This window comes from Homo sapiens, chromosome 18, assembly GCF_000001405.40.
Source record: "Homo sapiens chromosome 18, GRCh38.p14 Primary Assembly".
Classification (NCBI taxonomy): Eukaryota; Metazoa; Chordata; class Mammalia; order Primates; family Hominidae; genus Homo; species Homo sapiens.
This window is the reverse complement of record NC_000018.10, coordinates 2,772,127-2,795,303: the sequence shown is the minus strand read 5'-3', so window position 1 is coordinate 2,795,303 and position 23,177 is coordinate 2,772,127. Positions and strand designations below refer to the sequence as shown.

General features: G+C 37.9%; 1 protein-coding gene and 1 pseudogene across 8 annotated transcripts in view; both read right to left on the bottom strand.

The window, feature by feature from the left end:
• SMCHD1 (structural maintenance of chromosomes flexible hinge domain containing 1) overlaps positions 1 to 23,177 on the bottom strand; it is a 149,292-nt gene that overhangs the window by 9,714 nt on the left and 116,401 nt on the right. For 5 of the 8 annotated variants that reach the window (XR_001753172.2, XM_011525642.2, NM_015295.3 and 2 more), the window contains 5 exons: positions 22,932 to 23,054; positions 19,380 to 19,570; positions 17,389 to 17,498; positions 17,065 to 17,135; positions 10,683 to 10,854 (listed from right to left, as the gene is read on the bottom strand). Coding sequence is in view for 5 of the 8 variants with exons in the window: in XM_011525642.2 (XP_011523944.1) it covers positions 10,683 to 10,854; positions 17,065 to 17,135; positions 17,389 to 17,498; positions 19,380 to 19,570; positions 22,932 to 23,054 (667 nt within the window). In the remaining 3 variants the exon portion in view is untranslated. Of the gene's footprint in view, positions 1 to 10,682; positions 10,855 to 17,064; positions 17,136 to 17,388; positions 17,499 to 19,379; positions 19,571 to 22,931; positions 23,055 to 23,177 lie in introns of those variants that run through there. The other 3 variants (XM_047437426.1, XR_935055.3, XR_007066135.1) reach the window with 3 other exon arrangements.
• Positions 20,341 to 20,458, bottom strand: LOC124904372 (uncharacterized; annotated as a pseudogene).

The window sequence follows — 23,177 nt, the reverse complement described above, 5'->3', positions numbered from 1 at the left end:
GGGTGGATCACGAGGTCAGGAGATAAAGACCATCCTGGCTAACACGGTGAAACCCCGTCTCTAATAAAAATACAAAAACAAAATTAGCTGGGCATGGTGGCGGGCACCTGTAGTCCCAGCCACTTGGGAGGCTGAGGCAGGAGAATGGCGTGAACCCGGGAAGCAGAGCTTGCAGTGAGCTGAGATTGCGCCATTCAGCCTGGGTGACAGAGCGAGACTCCGTCTCAAAAACAAAAACAAAAACAAAACAAAACAAAAAAAAAACCCAGAATTTTTTAAAAACACACTCAGAAAAATACTTCACTTTCAAAAAACTTAACTTTTCTTAAATTACTTTGTCTAAAAATGTATTACATTATTCAAATTAATGACCTGGGAAAATTTCCACCACAGAACAGTATATAGAAAAGGACCATAAAACAACATTGTTAGAATAATCCAACTTATTTTAAACTATATATACTCCCACATGTATAGACAAAAGGCTGGAAGGTGATACAATAAATTATTAACAATGTTTAATCTGTAGGTTTGGGAATTATGAGTTCTTTTAAAAATTCATGATGCTTGCCTGTATGTTCCAATTTTTTTCCACAATGATCAAGTGTTCTTCTTGCCATAAAAATAAATTTTGAAATTCCAAAAAAGTATTACATTATTCAGGTTTGAGATTATTGCCTGTCTCCATGATTTACTAGACACTAAGTATTAAATAGTAACTATACTCTAGGCTAAGGGTTAGTACACTACCACTCATTGGCCAAGAATGGTTTATTCAGTTTTTTGTTTTTGTTTTTTGAGATACGGTCTCACTCTGTCACCCAGAATGGAGTGCAGTGACATAATCACTGCTCACTGCAGCCTCAACTTCCTGGGCTCAGGTGATTCTCCCATCTTAGCCTCGTGAATAGCTCGGATTACAGGCAATAGCTCGGATTACAGGCAAATTGGCCAGCACACCTATCTAATTTTTTTAGAGACGGGGTTTCACTATGCTGTTCGACCTTTGGGAGGCCAAGGTGAGCGGACTGCTTGAGCCCAGGCTGGTCTTGAACTCCTGGGCTTAAGCGATCTAACCATCTTGGGCTCCCGAAGTGCTGGGATTACAGGAGTGAGCCCACTGGCCTATCCAGTTTAAAATGGTCACATTTTAAATAGTTATATAAATATCTTCATAACATCATCCTTGATTTTGCCACTTGACTTGCAAAACCTAAAACATTTAGCATCTGGATAAGACTCTAGTCACACACCAAGATGATCAATATCCATGGAAATGGACATATAAACATTCAAACACTTAAACATATATAAGTAGTTTATAAGTAAAACTGTGGAAGAAATTACTTAAGAGTACAGAGTACATTAGGTATAACATAAGATATTCTATACTTTAAGGGTCAAGAGTAGTGTTTTAAAAAGAAATCTACCCAATATTCTAGAAATCTACACTTAGAATGAGTGACCAAATTACATATACACATCTGTGTGTGCTTGTGAACATATTCATATTTAAATACAAATTCTATATGTGAAACTGAGTGACGACAAGACCCTTAAGTTCCTTACGCTTTATTGAGAACTTTATTCTGGTCTGATTTCTAATTCCACATTAAAGCAATGTTTTCTTTCTTTTTTTTTTTTTTTGAGACGGAGTCTCGCCCAGGCTGGAGTGCAGTGGCGCGATCTTGGCTCACTGCAAGCTCCACCTCCCGGGTTCACGCCATTCTCCTGCCTCAGCCTCCCAGGTGGCTGGGACTACAGGCGCCCGCCACCACACCCAGCTGATTTTTTTTGTATTTTTAGTAGAGACAGGGTTTCACTGTGTTAGCCAGGATGGTCTTGATCTCCTGACCTCGTGATCCACCCGCCTCAGCCTCCCAAAGTGCTGGGATTACAGGCATGAGCCACTGCGCCTGGCCTCAAGCAATGTTTTCTACGTACATAAAATAATACTTATTTTGTATGTAAATGAGTCACAATATTAAGATAGGTTATTTCAACATGTCCAGGAAAATGACTATGTGAAGCTACTAGAAACACCACAAAAGGATGGAAAGTATATCTGAAAGGCTGTTATCAGGTAAGTGTGTAAGGACTTCCCAAACATGAGTTAATAGAAGTCTGAAGCAACTTTCTCACCACTGAAGGATTTATGCAGTTAGATGCACAGGTAGACTTTCCTAAATAATATTTAGTGCTCTTCAAACTTTGTGCTCCACATAATTCGAAGAAACTTATTGGCAAAAAAACTGATAAGCACTTATGACTGGGAAAAACTACAAGAAAAAATACACCAGAACCTCTGCTTTGACTTGCTTCAAATAACCCACCCAGGAAGAGGAGGATAGAGGCAAGCTGTGACAGGGTGGGTATAAATGAAACAAGACTGGCTATGTTTTAATAATCAAAGCTAGGTGACAGGTCCATGAGAGATCATCACACTGCTCTATTCCCATAACAAAACAAAACACCCTTTCCCTGAAAGCCAGAGTGCTTAACTAATCTTCGTCACTATTCATAAAAATATTAAGAATAGCTTTATTTAAAAAACCATCATAATTGACTGAAATATTGACAGTATTATAATAAATCAAGTATGAAAGCAATAAAGTATAAGAAATGTCTAACCTGGTCAGATATATAATATTTTGAAGAATATGAACATAATAAAAATGTTAATACTTTTGATGATGTCATGATTACAAACTATGTATTACAGTAGTCCCTCCTTTTCCTCATGGGACATGTTCCAAGACCCCCAGTGGATGTCTGAAACCCCCAGTGGATACTACTGAACCCTGTGCAGTCATGTGTTGCTTAATGATGGGGATATGCTCTGAGCAATGTTTCATTAGGTTATTTCGTCATTAAGTGAACACAACAGAGTGTACTTACACAAACCTACATGGTATGTAGAACCTACAATGCTCCTAGGGTATATGGTATAGCCCATTGCTCCAAGACTACAAAACTGTACAGCATGTTGACAGTACTAAATACTGTAGGTAACTGTAACACAATGGTAAGCATTTGTGTATCTAAACATAGAAAAGGTAATCAACTCCATTATAATCTTATGGGACCACTGTCTTACATACAATCTGTTTTTGACAGCCTTGTGCGGCACATGACAGTATTGCTGTTTTTTTAAAAGCAAATTTTATTTGTAAAGAAATATTTCTAACTCTATGAACTCTTTTTGTACTTTATTGGTAAAGTTTAAAGGAGCAAATAACGGGAAATATTTGGGAATATAGCAGCTCGCAGTTAGTATAGTTTCAGATTTTACAATTCAATAAATATTTTGGAAATGATTTATTATAAAATTAAACTAAGAGTTCTGACTACTGTTTCCTCTTCAGGGTGTTTCTTTCTGGCCTTGGGTGGTCTTCTCACATGCATGCACTAATTAGTACTAAGCTGGATACTGAAGGGAGACCTACTGCATTTCTAGAGCTCGCTCACTCTCTAAAGCAGCTCTTGCCTTCCCAGTAACCTGTCTGTGAACTATAGTTGTCTTGACCTTCCTGGACTCCCAACCTGTTCTTCTCAACTTTGAGACTACTGAGCTTCTCCTGGGTTCCCCTTTTCTGTTTTACGTAGTCTGGAAAATCTCTCTAGGCAGTAAGCTGAAACAACCACAGGGATACTTCGGTTGATTCCTATTTCTCAGGAATCACCATTCTTTACTGCTTCATATCCAAAGTCTTGAAAACTATTCTTTCACGTATTTTGCTCAGTGCTTTGTTTTTTTGAGACAGAGCCTCACTCTGCCACCCAGGCTGGAATGCAGTAGTAGCTCAATCACGGCTCACAGCAACCTCAGCCTCCCAAAGAAGTGGGACTAAAGGAGCGAGCCACCAGGCCCAACTAATTATTTTATTTTCTGTAGAGATTAGGTGTCACTGTATTGCCCAGGCTGGTCTCAAGCAATCCGCCCATCTTGGTCTCCCAAAGTGCTGGGATTATAGGCGTGAGCCACTGTGCCTGGCCTCAGTGGTTTTTTTCTTTGGTTTGTTTGATGTAAGTTATTCCATCTTGGTGAGAAGCAGAAGTCTCTGTTCTTAGGTATTCATTCATATTTATTTTTCTTTGTATTTAAGGATCAACATGTTTAGCTGCAGAAACACCTTTTAAAACTTATTCTTGTTGTTCTTGTATATGACTTTTTTCCTCTCCCATTATATCTTCTAACTGCTTACTGTAAGATTATATGAATGCTATTATTTTTGTATGCTAATTTTATAACTTTCTCCCTTAATAAATTCTTTTAATTTTCATCTTTGATTACCTTGGGTTTTATAGGTATACTGTTACACAATCTACAAATAGTTACCATTTTATTTCCTTTCCAATTCTTATGACTTTGTTTTTCATTTTTAAAATTGATATATGACAGATGTACACATTTTCAGGGCACATGTGATATTCTGATACTTAGATAAAGATAATTGGGATATCCCTCATCTTAATATTTTTTCTTTATGCTAGGGACATTTGAATTATTTTCTTCTACCTGTACTGTGGTATTTTGTTTTTTGAGATGGAATCTCGCTCTGTTGCCCAGACAGCAGTGCAGTGGTGCAATCTTGGCTTACTGCAACCTCTGCCTCCTGGGTTCAAGCAATTCTCTTGTCTCAGCCTCCCAAGTAATTGGGATTACAGGTGTGTGCCACTACGCCCAGCTAATTTTTTGTATTTTTAGTAGAGATGGGGTTTCACCATTTTGGCCAGGCTGGTCTTGAATTCCTGACCTCAGGTGATCCACCCACCTTGGCCTCCCAGAGTGCTGGGATTACAGGCCTGAGCCACCGTGTCCGGCCTATACTGTGTTTTGTCCTATACATACCAGCCTATGATAAATTTTAATTTATAAGTTAGGCATAGTAGATTAACAACAACAATAAAACAGAATAAAAATATACTGTAATAAAGCTATATGAACGTGGTCTTTCCCTCTCAAAGTATCTTATTGTACTGCACTCACCTATTTTGGACTGTCATTGACTTCGGGTAATTGAATTTGTAGAAAGCAAAACTGCAGGGGAGGGGGGACTTATGCAATTACTTATTGATTATGATAAGATGCTTTTCTTGAGTTATTATTTTATTTATTTTTGAGACAAAGTCTCGCTCTGTTGCCCAGGCTGGAGTGCAGTGGCGCGATGTCGGCTCACTGCAAGCTCCGCCTCCTGGGTTCAAGCAATTCTCCGGCCTCAGCCTCCTGAATAGCTGGGACTACAGGCACGTCCACCATGCCCAGCTAACTTTTTTTATTTTTAGTAGAGACGGGGTTTCACCACGTTGGCCAGGCTGGTCTCAATCTCCTGACCTCGTGATCCACCCGCCTCGGCCTCCCAAAGTGTTGGGATTACAGGCGTGAGCCACCACGCCCAGCCTGAGTTATTATTAACATCTCTTTTTCTCTTCTGTCTACATTCTGGCTTCTACAGTGTCCTTAGTTATTTCCTTTGCATTTTAAAAGTATTTCTATTCCCAAGATCTCTACAGAACACTTGAAATAATACAGATGCTCCTCAACTTACGATGAAGTTATGTCCCAATAAACCCATCATAACTTGAAAATATTGTAAAAGTTGAGAGTGCGCTTCCAACTTATGATATTCTCAACTTATTAAGAGTTTATCCAGACACAGCCCCATTATAAGTTGAGAAGCATACTGAATGTGTATTGGTTTCACACTACTGTGAAGTTGAAAAATGTAAGCTGAAACATCCTAAGTCTGTATAGGAAACAAGAAATGGTGGGGGGAGAAAAAAACAGGTCTACTCTCTCACTTTTTTCTTTTCATTCCACAGGTTTAAAGGTTTAATTTTTAACGTGTGATATTTGTATTTTTATTCACCTTCCACTTAGCCTTGACACAGACATTCTCCAGATTACAAATTCAATTAAAGGATTTAACATTTCTATGTTTTACTTGAAAAACAAGGCTGTAGCCAGGCAGAGTGACTTACACCTGTAATCCCTAGCACTCTGAGAGGCCAAGGCAGGCAGATCGCCTGGGACCAGGAGTTTGAGACCAGCTAAGCAACATGGCAAAACCCCATGTCTACCAAAAAAAAAAAAAAATAATAATAATACAAAAAAATTAGCCAGTGTGGTAGCACAAGCCTGTAGTCCCAGCTATTCGAAAGGCTAAGGTGGGAGGATCACCTGATCCCAGGAAGTTAGAAGGCTATGGTGAGCCATGATTGTGCCACTGCACTCCAGCCTGGGCAACAAAGTGAGACCCTGTCTCAAAAAACAAACAAACAAACAAAAAAAGAAAAACAAAGCTGTGATATTCATTTGAATAAAACAATGCCTTGTCTGTAGTTAGGATTGTTTGCTTAGGCATGTTTCCTAGAAGATCAATTATACATTAAAAGAATATTAATTTGGCCAGGGGAGGTGGCTCACATTGTAATCCTAGCACTTTGGGAGGCTTAAGTGGGCAGATCACTTGAGGGCAGGAGTTCGAGACCAGCCCGGCCAACATGGTGAAACCCCATCTCTACAAAAATATAAAAATTAGCTGGGTATGGAGGCGTGCACCTGTAATCCCAGCACTTGGGAGGCTGAAGCACAAGAATCACTTGAACCTGGGAGGTGGAGGTTGCAATTAGATCAAGCCACTGCACTCCATCTTGGGCAACAGAGCGAGACTCTGTCTCAAAAAGTAAAATAAAATAAAATAAATGAATATTAAAAACAATAAGTAAATTTTTCTGATTATAAAAGTGATACAATGCTCACTGAGGCAAGTCTGGAAAAATATATAGAAAGGGATAATGGAGAAAATTATCCCAATTATATAACCCAGAATTAAAAGTATATTTCTTTCTACTTTTTTCAATGTGCTAACGAATACACACACTGTTCTAAACATGAGAAAGCTATCTAACCTTTTTGAACCTCAACTTCTTCATCTATAAAATGAAGATAACAGCAGTAAATACGATCATTCATGTGACAACCTTAACAGGGTGTCTGCAACGTAATATTTTATAATATGTAAATGTCCAGTAATTTTTTTTTCTTATGCTCTGATTTGCTCTTATACTAATCATGCAAGACAACGTATAGGCAAATTATTTAGAAAACAAATACTTTGCTTATAACTGTGCTAGCAGTTGACAATTTTTATGGTGATGGCCTTCCTCAAAATTGCTTTTGCTCTGAGAATGATTCCATGATACCCAGGGGAGGGTCTCCAAAACTGTTTGCTTTATTTGATCCTTACTAAGTCTGGCTGACCTGGAAGGTGGTGGGCATTTCTCTCTCCTAGGACTGGTGGGAGTTAAGTTATATTAAAACTTTAGGGTGAAGGTATATGGAGCCCAAGGCTGCTGACTGTCCCAGAGTTATCTTTGACTTTGTCTTGGCTGTTTCCATCTCCTTTAAATCTGTGATTTCTTCCAGTTTCCTTCCAATAGATTCCTGTTTGGCTTAAAGTAGTCATGCATGGCTGCTATTGCTTACAATCAAAAGTACTTTATATATATTAGTAACCTTAAACGGTCTCCTTTGAGTTCTTATCAATGAATCATTAGTCTGTATGTGGGAGTGTATCTTTGAATATATTTGTCAAGAAAGCTAAGCAACTATTAAATATGACATCTGTGTATTTTTTAAGTTCCACAGGTAATTCTTTCTGGTTTTGGGAACTACTGCCATAAAATGCTTAGGTATAGAGTCTAGGCCTTTTACATTAATTCACTGACTTTGATTAAAATGTTTTCTCTGATTTCTTATCAGTTTCTTTAGATATTCACTCATTGTAGAGACTGTATGTGTCCACTGATGTCATAAACAGAAGTATGACTCCTCTTCCCACCACCTTTCTCAACTACTAATTAAAAAACTTCTGAGGCTGAACTGATAGCCCCAAATGGAAATTACCTGCTATGGTTGGTTTGTCCCCACCAAAGCTCATGTTAAAATTTGATCCCTGGTATGGTGGTGTTGGGAGGTGAGGCCTAATGTTGGGGTCATGAGGGCAGATCCCTCATGAATAGATTAGTGCCATCCCTTGGGAGTGAGTGAATTCTTGCTCTGTTCCTAAAAGCTGGTTGTTTAAAGAGCCTGGCACCTTCCCTCCCCTTCCCTTTTGCTTCCTTTCTTGAGATGTGATCTTTGCACATGCCAGCTCTTCATCTACTGTGATAGGAAGCAGCCTGACGCCCTCACCAGATGCAGATGCCCAATCTTGAACTTTTCAGCCAGAAGAAGTGTATGCCAAATTAAGTATCTTTTTCTTTATAAATCACCCAGCTTCAGGTATTCCTTTATAACAACACAAAACAGACTAAGACACTGCTCAAATTCCTCAACAGTAGAATAAATAAATTGTACATTTCATTCACACAATGAAGTATTATCCTGCAATGAAAATGAACTACATGCATAGTGTTGAACAAAACTAGACATATAAAAAAGTACGCACCGCACAATACCAAGTATATAAAGTACTAAAATGGGCAAAATTAATCTAAGCTACTATAAGTCAAGAAAGTTGTTATCCTTTGAGTATGGAGTGGTGGTAGGGAGTGGAGGAGCCAAAAAGAAATCTTCTACAGTACTGGTGTTTCTTTTTCTTTTTTTTATATGGAGTTTTGCTCTTGTCACCCAGACTGGAGTGCAATGGCACAATCTCGGCTCACTGCAACCTCTGCCTCCCAGGCTCAAGTGATGGTCCTGCCTGAGCTTCGTGAGTAGCTGGGACAACAGGCACCCACCACCACGCCCAGCTAATTTTTGTATTTTTAGTAAAGATGGGGTTTTACCATGTTGGCCGGGCTAGTCTTGAACTCCTGACCTCAGGTGATCCGCCTGCCTTGCCCTCCCAAAGTGCTGGGATTACAGGTGTGAGCCACCAAGCCCAGCCTAATGTTCTATTTTTTAATATAAGTGCAGTGTTCATGTTGTGAAGATCCATCAAGCTGAATGTTCACAAAATATGCACATTTTTCTATGTGTATTTTACTTTAATAAAAGCAAACAAAGTGGCCAGACACGGTGCCTCACGCCTGTAATTCCAGCACTTTGGGAGGCCAAGGAAGGTGGATCACTTAAGGCCAGGAGTTCAAACCCCATCTCTACTAAAGATACAAAAGTTTGCCAGGTGTGGTGGCGCATGTCTGTAATCCCAGCAACTTGGGTGGCTGAGGCACAAACATTGCTTGATCCCGGGAGACCGAGGTTGCAGTGAGCTGAGATTGTGCCACTGCACTCCAGCCTAGGTGACAGTCAGACTATCTCAAAAAAATAAAAAATAAAAAATAAGAAAAAAGTAAATAAAAGTAAACAAAACGTTGCAAATAGATACAGTGAAATATATATTATTCAGCCTTACAAAGGAAGGACATTCTAACACTTATTACAACATGGACAGACCTGAGGACATTATGCCAAGTGAAATTAGCCAGTCACAAAAGGACAAACTCTGTATGATTCTACTTATATGAAGTATCTAGAAGTCACATTCAGAGAGACAGAAAGAAGTATAATGGGTGTCAGGGAATGGACAATGGAGAGTTTATACAAAGTTTCAACTGTGCATACCGAAAACAGTTCTGGAGATAGAATGAACAACAATGTGAATGCACTTAACACCAATGAACTGTTTTTTTTTTTTTTTTTTTTTTTTGAGACAGAGTCTCTGTTGCCCAGGCTGGAGTGCAGTGGTGCAATCTCAGCTCACTGTAACCTCCACCTCCTGGGTTCAAATGATTCTCCTACCTCAGTCTCCCAAGTAGCTGGGACTACAGGTGCGTGTCACCACGCCCAGCTAATTTTTTTTTTGTATTTTTAGTAGAGACAGGGTTTCACTGTGTTAGCCAAGATGGGCTCGATCTCCTGACCTCATGATCCGCCTACCTCGGCCTCCCAAAGTGCTGGGATTACAGGCGTGAGCCATCGAGCCCGGCCAAACTGTACTCTTAAAAATGGTTAAGATGGTAAATTTTATGTTATATGTATTTTTCAATTAAAAGAAAGTTAACAACAAACTGCTCTGTGTTAGGAAAGTAGAGTTGAGTGTATCAGAATTAATTATATAAATTAAGAGCAAATAGGCTCTAAGCTAATGGATGGTAAGGAGACTTCCTGGTAAGTATATGCACTTCAGAGCACAGACGTGCAGGGACAATTATATTGGCTAATTAGATGCAAAGGGACACAGCCTGTGGAAGGGAAAAAGGGGCAGGAGATCACATGTCATACACTTTCTAATAAGCCTTAATTGTTCTAGATAGTTACAAATTTCAAGATAGAAATAAGTATTATGATTATGTAATAAAATACTGACTTATTCAATAATGACAGAAATTTCTTCTTTTTTTTTTTTTAAGAGATGGAGTCTTGCTACGTTGCCCAGGCTGACCTCAAACTCCTGGGCTCAAGCGACACTCTTGTCTTAGCCTCCTGAGTAGCTGGGAACACAGGCATGCACTACATATAAGAATGAAAATACAAAGGATAAAGCTACTATTTACATAACTCTAAACTACCTGATATAAAAAAGCTGAAAGTAGTAGACAAAAACATCTTACTTACATTTGTTACTTACTTACATTTGTTAATTTTTCATGTTAGATTCTCAAAACATAAGCTCTTAGAAAAATAAGAGTAAAATTAAATTAGAAATTGCTATTTAAGTACTTATTCAACTTACCTATTTGTTCCCCTAAGATCAGACACTGTTTTGGAACTGGAGCTCCAAATACCATTCCCCGAAGTTTATCCATTGGAGGAGCTTTATTCTGAAGGCCCCCAAACTTTCCATTACTTCGAATTCGATCTCCATCTCTGGTCAGCAGTGTAGGACAGTGTGTAATTTTAACAACCTATTGTAAATAAGTGAATAGTAAGTAGTGAGCAACTTATTTCAACTGCTCCAAAAAAGGAGAAATAATTTAAAGTTTCTGAGATTAGAAATGACAGGATCACAGTAGTATTTTCAAAAACTTAGTAACTAGCAATATGTAAGATAAACTGGAGGGAAAAATCCAGAGGCAGAGAGATGAATTAGACAACTTTTCAAATGTCAGCCTAAACTAGAACAGTGACAACGCAAGTGAAAAAAGTAAATGATGGATTGATAAGTGGAAGGAAGAGGACAGGCCAGAGAGTTCTGTGCTTTGGAACCCATGGCAGTTAAGTATCAAGGTAGCATCACCAACCCAGTTTCCTCTGTTAGATTTAAGTTTTTTAGATGACCAAAGGATAGCAAAAGGAGAATATTACATTGAAGAAAATACAGACTGGAAAGCACTAGACTGACTCTTCCAAAGATAATACTATGGTTTTAGGTATGGGAAGATAAAGAGGTGATAATTTGAGAGTTAGGGGAACTGAAATAATGTAGAAAAACTGAAGTCATGGATGGGAAAAGATGAAGGGTTAATTAAGAATTAAATTCTTAATGTCAGGTGTGGTGGCTCACACCTGTAATCCCAGCACTTTGGGAGGCCAAGGTGGGCAGATCACGAGGTCAGGAGTTCGAGACCAGCCTGACCAACATGTTGAAACCTCATCTCTACTAAAAACACAAAAATTAGCTGGGCATGGTGGCACGTGCCTGTAATCCCAGCTACTCAGGAGGCTGAGGCAGGAGAATCGCTTGAATCCAGGAGGCGGAGGTTGCAGTGAGCTGAGATCGCACCACTGCACTCCAGCCTGGGCAACAGGAGACTCTGTCTCAGAAAAAAAAAAAGAAAGAAATTCTTCAGAGAAGTCAGAATAAAGGAAAAATACTGGATTTAGTACGTCATAATCTAGAAGAATGTTCTTGCAAAAAAGGTTCAGAAAATATTAAAAAATAAAAGTTAAACTTCATTGGTAACCAGAGACGTGGAATTCAAATAAGATATTTTTACTACTCAATATGTTAAAATGCACACACACACACAACTTTGGTGGGGGGCTATGGAAAAAGGGCCTTCTTGTACTGATATGCCCTGGGACAGCCCTTCTCAAAGGAAATGGGACAAGTGTTAAAAAGTTTAACATTCTGCACGATTCAGCAATTCTAAGAATCTAATCAGGAAAAAATAGTAACAGATGTGAACGATGTATACGGAAATATTGTTTTAATAATGAAAAGTAGTAAACTTACATGTCTCAACAAGTTATACAAGTAAATTACGGCACATCCATACAATGAAATAGTATACATATATTAATGAATGAAGAAAAACACTAATTTTTAACAAGTATAAAAACGTAGTCCAACCTAATATTGGGGCTAAATAGTCTCTGAATTATATAAATACAAGATAAAGTAAATGTAATTAAGATGGTTATTTGAAGAAATCCTGTGGTGAATTCTTTGGTAAAGCCAGTATTTACAAATTCAAAAATCATTTGTTTTTACAAGAAATAACCACAACTTAATTTCTTAGTTTTGGTTTGGGTTTATATGTTTTCTAGTGGTGAACAACAACAACAAAAATACAAACTGGCTTCATGTGCTATCCACTTATCAAGATTCAGGCAGTCAATGTTTCTAAGGATTTAATATCTTTTTTTTTTTTTTTTTTTTTTTTTTTTGAGTTGTGGTCTCGCTCTGTTGCCCAGGCTGGAGTGCAGTGGCATGACCATGGCTCACTACAGCTTCCAACTTCTGGGCTCAAACAATTATCCCAACTGAGCCACCTGAATAGCTGGGACTACAGGTGTAGGCCACCATGCCCGGTTACTTTTTTTTTTTTAAACTTTGTAGAGTTGGCGTCTCACTATGTTGCCCAGGCTGGTCTCGAACTCTTGCCTTCAAGTGATATTCCTGCCTTGGCCTCTCAAAGTGCTGAGATTACAGGCATGAGCCATCATGCTCAGCCTAATATGATCTTAAATAAATACACTAAAATGTATAGATTTTCTATTATCTTGTTAAGAAGCAACATGAGGGAAGAGTTATGGTAGAAGGACAGACAGTTTGGCTCTCCTTTTATAATGATTCTGGAAATACTACTTTCACAGACAGTTTCTCAATTCTCCCTCAACCTTGATTCTACCTCACTAAGTACACTATTAGGACAAAAAAAGTTATCATGGTGTTTGCAAATTCTGCAAATTCTGGAATGAACAATATTACAACTCTGAAACTCAACAGTGTTACCAAGGAATGTCATAAGAGCTTTTTCTTAGAAGAGTTTTAAAATAACATTTGATTGGCAAAGTTACATATGACTTCATTTAGAAACCTGGAAGCAAGGAAATCAATATGTGCTATTATCAATTATGAAGAACAAATTCTATTCCTTTTTTGTCACGTATGTGCTACAACATTTTTGCAAAACTAGTATTGGTATCTTTCATCAGTTTTAAGATATTTTCAGCCATCAGTTCTTCAAATATTGCCTATAATCCTTTTATAAACGCTCTCCTCTTGATACTCTGATTACATTTTGGTTAGATGCTCTCTCATTCTACCCTCCATGTCTCTTCAACTTCTTTGTCTTACATTCCATTTTCTCTTTCTCTCTGGGTTGCAGTCTGAATATTTTTTTCTGACCCTCTTTTTAATTCACAAATTCTTAAGATGTTAAACCTGTTCAGTTAGTATTTAATTTCTATTGTATCTTTTGATTTTTAGAAGCTCTATTTGATTTTTTCAAGTTGACTTATTCTTTTCTTATTTTCAACACTTTCATTTTTTGAACTATATTAATCAACTATTAATATAGATATTTTTCAATTTAACTTGTTCTTTTCTCATTTTCAACACTTTCATTTTTTGAACTATATTAATCAAATATTAACACTTTAAAAATATTTGCTCTCATTTTCAATGTGGAAATTATTTCCATTCAAAAACAATGGTGAAATTCCCCCAGAAAACATTTATTTGCTTCAATCAGGTATCTAAGGATACTACTAGTCCAGCACATGAAACCAAATGTTTACCGTGAAGGTTTTCAGAACATCCAAGTAGTATGAATACACATTGCAAACAGATATTAGAGTCAATTGTTATGTTGATGAATTCTCTAGAAAAATGTTTAACTTTTTTACTTTTCCGCTTAGTGCCAAAGTTCAAGAGAGAGACTTTTCTGGTAGTTCCCTGAAGCAGCTGGAGTTGAGATGAAGGTGGCAGGTTTATATGTTTGTTTACCCTTATACTAAGGTTTCCCCCCACAGAGGGGGTGTCCCCAGTTATCAGACTCCCCATGTTGTTTAGAGCCCTGGGTTTTGTCTCCTATCCTAAAGCCCCTCGAGGGAGTGAAAAATCAATGCTTAAGTTCAATTAGTTTGGCAAACGTTCTCACTGCAAAAATCTGGCATTAGTGTTCTGTTTGTCTCTCCAGGTTCCCACTTCCACTTAGAATCCTGACTCTCTTGCCAGTTCATTAAGATACATATCTGAAATAGCATTTTAGCTAATCTCAGCTGGAGTTTCCAAAGGCTATCTGGTTTGTCTAATTCATCACTGTATAACCCTCAGTGCACTGTGCCTAGTGATACGCTGGAACCAGCTTGTACTGGGTCATGAAAGCCAGGTCTCCTGAACACCACATTCATATAGGCATGAAGGACTTCATACAGACTGCTGGAAATCATCCATGATACAAGTACTTACACCATAGAAATTGGCAAAAGCTACAAATCAGGGACTTCCACATGCCTCCTCAGAGAGCTAGTTCAACACATAATAGCACACTACTGTGTCTCATACATAGTAAGTATCCAAATATCTCATTGAACAGGAGTCTTCCGGTTACCATCCTATTAGTTAGTTCAATCCTTACCAGCAAGCTTCTCACCGTCTCCAAACTGATTCCATGTTATCATAACATTTAATGGGTATGTTTCTATTTCATAATTCGGGATATATAAAAATGCTAATCACTACCAGAATATAGTAGCTCTCCCACCCACAGCCAGTTTCTGGTACAGTGTATTATACTTAATATTAGGTTTACAAGGAAACGTTCATGAAGATGCCAAATACCATTTTCCAATTAGCTATATAATGCTCAAAATCCCAGTAATTTAGTTTTCCTAAACTAAGATGAATTTATTATTGCCTTTTTTTTTTTTTTTTTTTTTTTTTTTTAGATAGAGTCTTGCTCTGTCACCCCGGACTGGAGTGCAGTGGCATGATCTCAGCTCACTGCAACCTCCACCTCCCAGGATCAAGTGATTCTCCTGCCTCAGCCTCCTAAGTACCTGGGATTACAGGTGCCTGCCACCACGCCTGGCTAATTTTTGTATTTTTAGTAGAGACGGGATTTCACCATGTTGGCCAGGCTAGTCTCGAACTTCTGACCTCAAATGATCCCCTACCTTGGCCTCGCAAAGTGCTGGGATTACAGGCAGGAGCCACTGTACCCGGTGCCCTATTATTGCTTCTTAACGAGGCCCAAAGAAAAATTACTCATACCAGTTTAGTTCTAGCTCTGCCATAAATTAGTAAAGTGTGACTTGGGACAAATCCCCCACCTCTTTAACAATTTTTATTTTTTTAGACAGAATCGCATTATATTGCCTAGGCTGGAGTGCAGTGGCTATTCATAGGCATGATCAGAGCACACGACAGCCTATAGCCTTGAACTCTTGGGTTCAAGCAAACCTCCCTCAGCTTCCCAAGTAGCTGGAACTACATGCATGCATCACATGTCCAGCTCTCCATTATTTGTTCTCAGCTTAAGGTCTCTCATCTATTCTCACTCGTCCTAGATCATCCTAGATGATCCCTATAGTCCCCGTGATTCTAGAATACACTATTTACAGATACTGGCTTAGATCAATCCAGGGTACTGCCTATAACATGTGGCTTTAGGGTTAAAATCAAGTCAAGGATGTTCCTTTGTTAAGACCTCTGAAAGATTTAAACTACTGCCCTCCTGGATCCTCTTAGCTAGACAAAAGGGCTTCTAAAACTCTAAATGGCATTACCCTACTCTATCTCACCCTCATGGGTGAGAACAATAACCCTAGCAGACATCCCCAAAAGAACCCCTGGCTAATACCAGCTGATGCCAGATGACAACAGGTACCAGTTGCCAGCTACATAAGGCAGGCATTTTAGAGCTGCCACCACCCCAGTTCAACTAGCCAACATCACTTGGAGAAATCTACAAAGAGGACTAATATGTTGTTGTTTAAACTTACAATTTAGAGTGTTATATATATAGCAGCAGTAAATAACTGAAATATTTATTTTACCAAACTCCCCTGCAAAGGTGCTATGGGCTAAACTGTGCTCCACTATAATCTTTTATTTATTTACTTTTTACAAGACCAGTCAAGTAGACTAGTAAGAAGGGGAGGAAAGAATAAAACAGAGTTAGATCTGTAGCTGATGGTGAACCATCAATTGAGATAACTCATTACCTTTGTTTGGGACCAGCCCCCAACAAATCCATGTTAAAGTCCGTAACCCCCAGTCCCTCAGAATGTGACATTATTTGGAGATAGGGTCTTTACTGAGATAATCAAGTTAATATGAGGTCACTGCGGTGGGCCCTAATCCAGTATGACTGGTATCCTTACAACAAGGGGGAAATTTGAACACAGTCACGCACAGATGTGAAGAGACAGGGGGAAGAGAGTCCTCATCTCCAAGGCAGGGAGAGGCCTGGAACAGATCCTTCATTCACAGTCTTTAGAGGTAACCAACCCTCCTGAAACTGTGAATTTGGATCTCCAGCTTCCAGAACTGTGATACAATAAATTTCTATTATTTAAGCCACCCAGTCTGTTGTGGGACAGTAATATTTCTATTATTCACATCAGTTAATGGCTGCCCTAGAAAACCAATACAAAGGGCTACAGCAAATTACATTTTACACCAAAATTACCTGACAGTACTTTTTTCCAATCCTAACAGACACTGTTTTGAGTCTTAGACAATTTCGTAGCCCCAAAACATCTATTTAAATTTGCATCCTGGTCCATTCATTCCTACGTTTTGCCTACTTTTATGTTGCTTATCAATTTGCAGAATTTAAATTGGTTTTGAAAAGGCTAGTCGTTTGTATATGTATCATCAAATGGACATGATACACATTAAAACTGAAGTCTACAAATTTAAAAAGAAATCAAATACATACCTCTTTTCTATAATGATTGGCCGCATCCAGATTATCCAAAATAATGGTGTCTCCTAACAGCATACCAAATACTAAAAAAGTCAATAAATGAATTTTGAAAATTATGATATTTTCCTTGGCCATATTAAAATATAATGCACATTGCAAGTCTTTCTTTGAAAGAGTGCTAGTATTCGTTCTAATTTTATTTGTACTCTAAAAAAACTGATAAAACTATGACTGATAAGCAAAATAAGAATATAAATTTTCATTATCAGTAATTTATAGATTTGTGTCACAAATTTAACATCTGTACAAAAGTAAAGTCACCATAATGTCTTTTACCTGTTTCACAATGTTCTACATTATCTGGAAATGTTAACAAGTCTCGAGCAAAGACTGGATCTCCAATGGGTTTAAAATACAATTTTCCATTTCGGAAATGAGGTAGAGATCTAAATAAAAAGAAATTTTAAAAAGATATTAAAGCACATGACTTTTTAAATTTAAAAAAAGACAATATGGAAAACATGAATATATTGCACATCATTTTGATCATACAATCAATTCCCAATCCACCACAAGTGATACTTCTAAATGATCAGCTATTATGCCCTTAGAAATGGAAACAATATTGACCATATAAAAAATCTACTTGGTTTTATCTGTACTACTACCCTCTATTAGTTTGTATTAACAATAAATAACAGTTTCATTTGACAAGGAAAGAAAAAAAGAAGCCTCTGTTCCAAATGACAGTATGAATGACATAACTGTTCATGTGAAGAGTGGTCACAGAATGACTAGGGGAAGGGGCAAGGCCCAAGACTGAGACACATATGAGGAAGGCAGCTCTATGTCCCCTGTCTTCCTGTCCTTCCCACACAATAGGAAGAGCAATTGAAGCCAGTAGATGATAACAATGGAATTTCAGAGATGGTAGTTGATTGGGGTGTCAGAGACTTTCCCTTCAACATAGGTGGAGAGGAGCTCTAGTTAATTCAATCCCAGTAAGAGGGAGAATACCAGAAACAGAGAGGATAACTCGTTTCTAGAACAAACGTTAGCCCTAAATGTCAAATCCATACTTTCCCTAAATCAATGATCCTTAACTTAGTCTCCAGGGATTACAGAGATAAAGAAGCCCTCCTGGAGAAAAAAATTCTTCTCACAAAAAGTATTAGGGTATGGGGGGGGGAGGTGGTGGTGCATGCCTCTAGTCCCAGTTACTTGCGAGGTTGAGGGAGGAGGATCACTTGAGCCCACAAGTTTGAGGCTACAGTGAGCTATGACTGTGCCTGTGAGTAGCCACTGCACTCCAGCCTGGGCAAGTGAAAACCGTTCTCTTAAGAAAAGAAAAAGTATTACCCTTATCAACATAGTAACTATGACCCGTCAGGATTTCCCATGCTGTTCCTTTGAGTACTGACTAGTTGCAGGGTGGCAGATTTTAGAATCTGATAGATCTGAGTTCAACATACAGCTGTTTCCTCAATCTATTTTTAGATTTATAAGATGAAATAACAAGTTTACTGACATAGTAGACTCTTAATGAGACACCATTCTCCTTCAAGTCCCCATTCCTATGCAATTACAGGCCGTGAAAAGCTTTGTTTAGTAATCTGAGAAAATACTGACTAATAAATACTCTGCTATACATTTTTATTTACTTTTTGTTAGTATTTCCTTCCTGTCTTTAGGTACATTTTAAAAAGTAGGCCTAATCAGGGTACATATAAAATATAAAAAAGGGGCTGGGTGCAGTGACTCATACCTGTAATCCTAGCAGTATGGGAGGCTGAGGTGGGAGGACTGCTTGAGCCCAAAAGTTTGAGACCAGTCTGGGCAATATAGCAATTAAAAAAAAAAAATTTAGCTGGGCATGCTGGCATGCACCTGTAGTCCCAGCTACTTGGGAAGCTGAGGTGGGAAGGTAGTTTGAATCCAGGGACGTTGAGGCTGCACTGAGTTGTGATCACGCCTAGCCTGGCTGACAGGGAAAGACTGCATCTCAAAAAATAAAAATTAAAAAATTTAAAAAAAAATATTATGTCTTTGTGTGTTTTTATGTCTTTGTGTGTATACGTTACATATACATGTAATGTATGTTTTTGTGTATACATTACATATACAAATAATATTTAATTGGCAAATAAAACATAGCCAGCATATGCAGTGAAAAATGCCCATTTGTGATGAAGACAAAAATAACGTATATAATTCAAGTCAATTCTCTGTTTTAGGTATCTTTTAGAGAAATCATTTTTAAATTCAAGGCTTTGATAAAAAACAGAAAATATATTTCAGAAAAAAAATTACTTTCACTTTTTTCTAACCTTTTCCAATCTGGAAGAGTCTTCTTGTAAATAGAATCAAGGGGCAACACCTGCTGACGACCTTGGGTTTCATCATAGATACGACGTGCAGCGTCAGTGGTTAGGGTGACTACACAGTCCATGTCACTTGCCAGATGCCAAGAAATAACCATCGCAGCTCTATCATCTTCAATTTGTGCTAGATGTGCAATCTATAACCCATTTTCATAAAGTAAAAAAATATAAAATCCATATATAAAAATTTGATATTATGTTAAAAGCCCAAGCCTAGGTAACAAAAACTTCTCTGAAACACATGAATTAAAAATAAACTGTCAAGTTGTCAAAAACTTAACTTGAATATATTAAACATTGTATTCTGATATTAAATTAAAATTTCTTTTTCTAAAGATTAAACTCCAGTAAAGTTGCAAATGAGCAAATAAAAATATTAGGAATTTTTCCTTCTTTTCTCAGACCGTTCAGGGATGAAATAATTAGAAATTTTATTAGCTAGTAATATATACTTTTTTCACATTTTAACACTATAAATGGGATCTGTCTTATTGGTAGAATATCATAAAGTACACTTAAATAATATACACATAAAATAATGCAGTTAAACATAAATACAGTTAATAAGCCCTTCCCTTCTAAGTAAATACTTTACTCCAATATTATAGTATTCCTTTCAGAAAACAAATCTAAACATCACAAATAAGAATTGTTTCTTCTGCTGCTCAGGAGGCTGAGGAAGGAGGATAACTTGAGCCCAGGAGGTAGAGGCTGCAGTGAGCCGAGATTGTGCCACTGCACTACAGTCTGACAGAGCAAGACCCTGTCTCCAAAAAAAAAAAAAAAAAAAAAAAAAAAAAAATTGTTCCTTTTGCTTCTGTTTCTAGGAACAATGCTTTGGAGCTTAGAATAAATAAATAATTACAAATCCTTCCTTCAGTCACAAGTATTCTTTTTCTTTCCCTCAGGTCAGACAGGTAATGTGCCAACAGTGTAACAAGGTTCAAGGGTGGCATATCTCACGCATGTGCGTGAACACCCAATCATCAACAAGCATTCTTGTTCAAAGTCAAGTCCACCAAGATTGGACTACTGTGGCCAGTATCAAAGCCTAGTTCATTGTGCTAGGATGGTGGTGTCTACCCTTTAATCTTACTTGATCTGGTAGCACAAACCTACTCTAGCAATAAGAACATTGTGTGTCACTTTTAGAAACATCAGGCTGGACATGGTGACCCAAGACTGTATTACTAGCACTTTGGGAGTTCAGGCAGGCAGAGTGCTTGAGCCCAGGAGTTTGAGACCAGCTTGGGCAACATCACGAAACCCCATCTCCACTAAAAATACAAAAAATTAGGGGGGCATGGTGGCACGAAACTGTAGTCCCAGCTACTTGGGTGCTGAGGTGGGAGGATGACCTGAGCTCAGAAAGTCCAGACTGCACTGAGCCGAGATGCACCACTGCATTCCAGCCTGGGCGACAGGAGTGAGATCCTGTCTCAAAAAAAGCCAAAAAACAAAACACATCCTAACATCTACCCTTATATTCTAATTCTCTAGAAGTTAGTGGAAGAAAGGTAAGAAAATGAACATGCAAAAAAACTAGTACATGTAAACGAAAATGAAAACAATGTTCTAGCCAATGGAGAAAGAATTAGTAGAGGCAAATGAAATGTAAGCAGAAGAAATGGCTTACTTGTGACATTTAGATGTGTTTTGTAAAAGAAATACCATGATACTGTCATAAAACCTATTTAGAAGGGCATGTTAAGTATAACTATAATATGTTTAACTGAAAAAAAAATCTTAAAACTGCTACTACATCTTCCTCATTTAGAGATGGGATTTCAAGATATTTGGAATTAAGGAAGAAATGTGTAAAATATCTAAGTTACTTGAGGTATTCACGATGTTAAAAATAAATACATTTTGAAGTTTGGGGGAAAAGTCTCCCCTTGTTCCTACTGTATTTCTACGATTATTTATTCTAGGGTTTTTTTATTTTTTTGAGACAGAGTCTCGCTCTGTCACTCAGGCTGGAGTGCAGTGGCATGATCTCGGCTCACTGCAACCTCCGCTTCCCAGGTTCAAACAATTCTTCTGCCTCAGCCTCCTGAGTAGCTGTGATTACAGGCACATGCCACCATGTCTGGCTATTTTTTGTATGTTTTATTAGAGACGGGGTTTCACCAGGTTGGCCAGGCTGGTCTCAAACTCCTGACCTCAGGTAATGCGCCTGTCTTGGCCTCCCAAAATGTTGGGATTACAGGTGTGAGCCAACGCGCCCGGACTATTCTAGTTTTATAATAAATGCCAGGAAGAGTATTTTTTAAGGAAGCGAGGGAAAAGACTAAGGATGACATGGAGGGACTGTAAAGTTTTCTCCTACTGGTTAGGGTAGGGTTTGTATTTCTGAGGGGACAAAAGAGAAACTATGTAAAACGAAATTTCAAAGATTTCCCCCAGATTTTCAAGACATGCAATGGGAAATATTTAAAAAGGAGACTTTAAAATACATTTCTCTTGCTAAAATTTATATGTTGGTAAAAATCTCACATATTGTCCAAGAATTTTGTATTGGATGAACTATTAAAATGTGGAAGCCATATATTTATATGCTTAGGATCAAAGAACTGCTTTTTTCTAAAAATTGGAATAATATTTTAAAACATTGTATATTAGCAACTTGTTTCCTAATACATAAATTTATATTTAACTTGAATTAAAATTCAATTTTTCAGTTTGCGGATCTGAGGTTTGGGTAATAACGTAACACGGTTTTGGTCATACACATTGCTACACGTTACCCCCTATTTTCAGTGGACAGTATATTTGTGAAGTTATAGGGCATATAAAAAAACTATCACAGACTTTAGAGTCAGAGAGACCTTGAGTCACATCTAAGCTCTGCCTTTAACTATATTTTAACAAGTTATTTGAGCTCCCTGAATTTCAATTTCTTTATGTATAAATGAGAAATACTACAAATAATAGTTCATATGGTGGTTACAAAAGTAGAATATACATGCAAAGGCAATAACCAAAGACTCCAGAGTCAGACTACTTGGGGTTTCACCCCTGGCTCTGCCACTTGCTATCTGTGCAACTCTGAGCAAGTTACTTGACCTCAGTTTCAGCTGGGCATGGTGGCACATGCCTGTAGTCACAGCTACTTGGGGGGCTGAGGCAGAAGGATCACTTGAGCCCAGCAGGTGGAGGGAGCAGCGAGCCACAGTCTTACCATCGTACTCCAGCCTGGGTGACAGACTGTCTCCCCCTCCAAAAACAGAGCTGCATGACATGAAAGCATCTCTAAGTAAACAACAAGCCTTGAACTAATAGATGTTAACAACTTTTGCCACAGCCCTCAATAGTAACATTACAGATTTCAGTTTTAAACTCTGCCAAATCCCTATTGCAATAATGAGAGCAGGTACTTTATTGGAAAGAAGTAAATTACAAAGAACCTGACACTTTTTTGTCACTTTTAGAAGACCCGTTTTAAACAAACAAGATAATAAAATGTACTGCCTTTCAAAAGGCTTAATAAACACAAACCTTTCCCAAAACATCTCCACTGCCTTTAGTATAGTTTGGAAGAGTACACGATCTTCTAGGTTTTTTCTTCAGTTCTTCTTGTTCTGATAGCTTTCTTTTCAGAAGTGCTTCAATGTGTGGCACCTATAATTTATAAAGAAAAATTAACTACAAGACCAATTACTCTTGAACCAGGCAGCCCATAATGACAGTGGAGAAAAATTAACAATTTAGATAACTAAAGAATATAAAGTTGGTAAGTAGGCA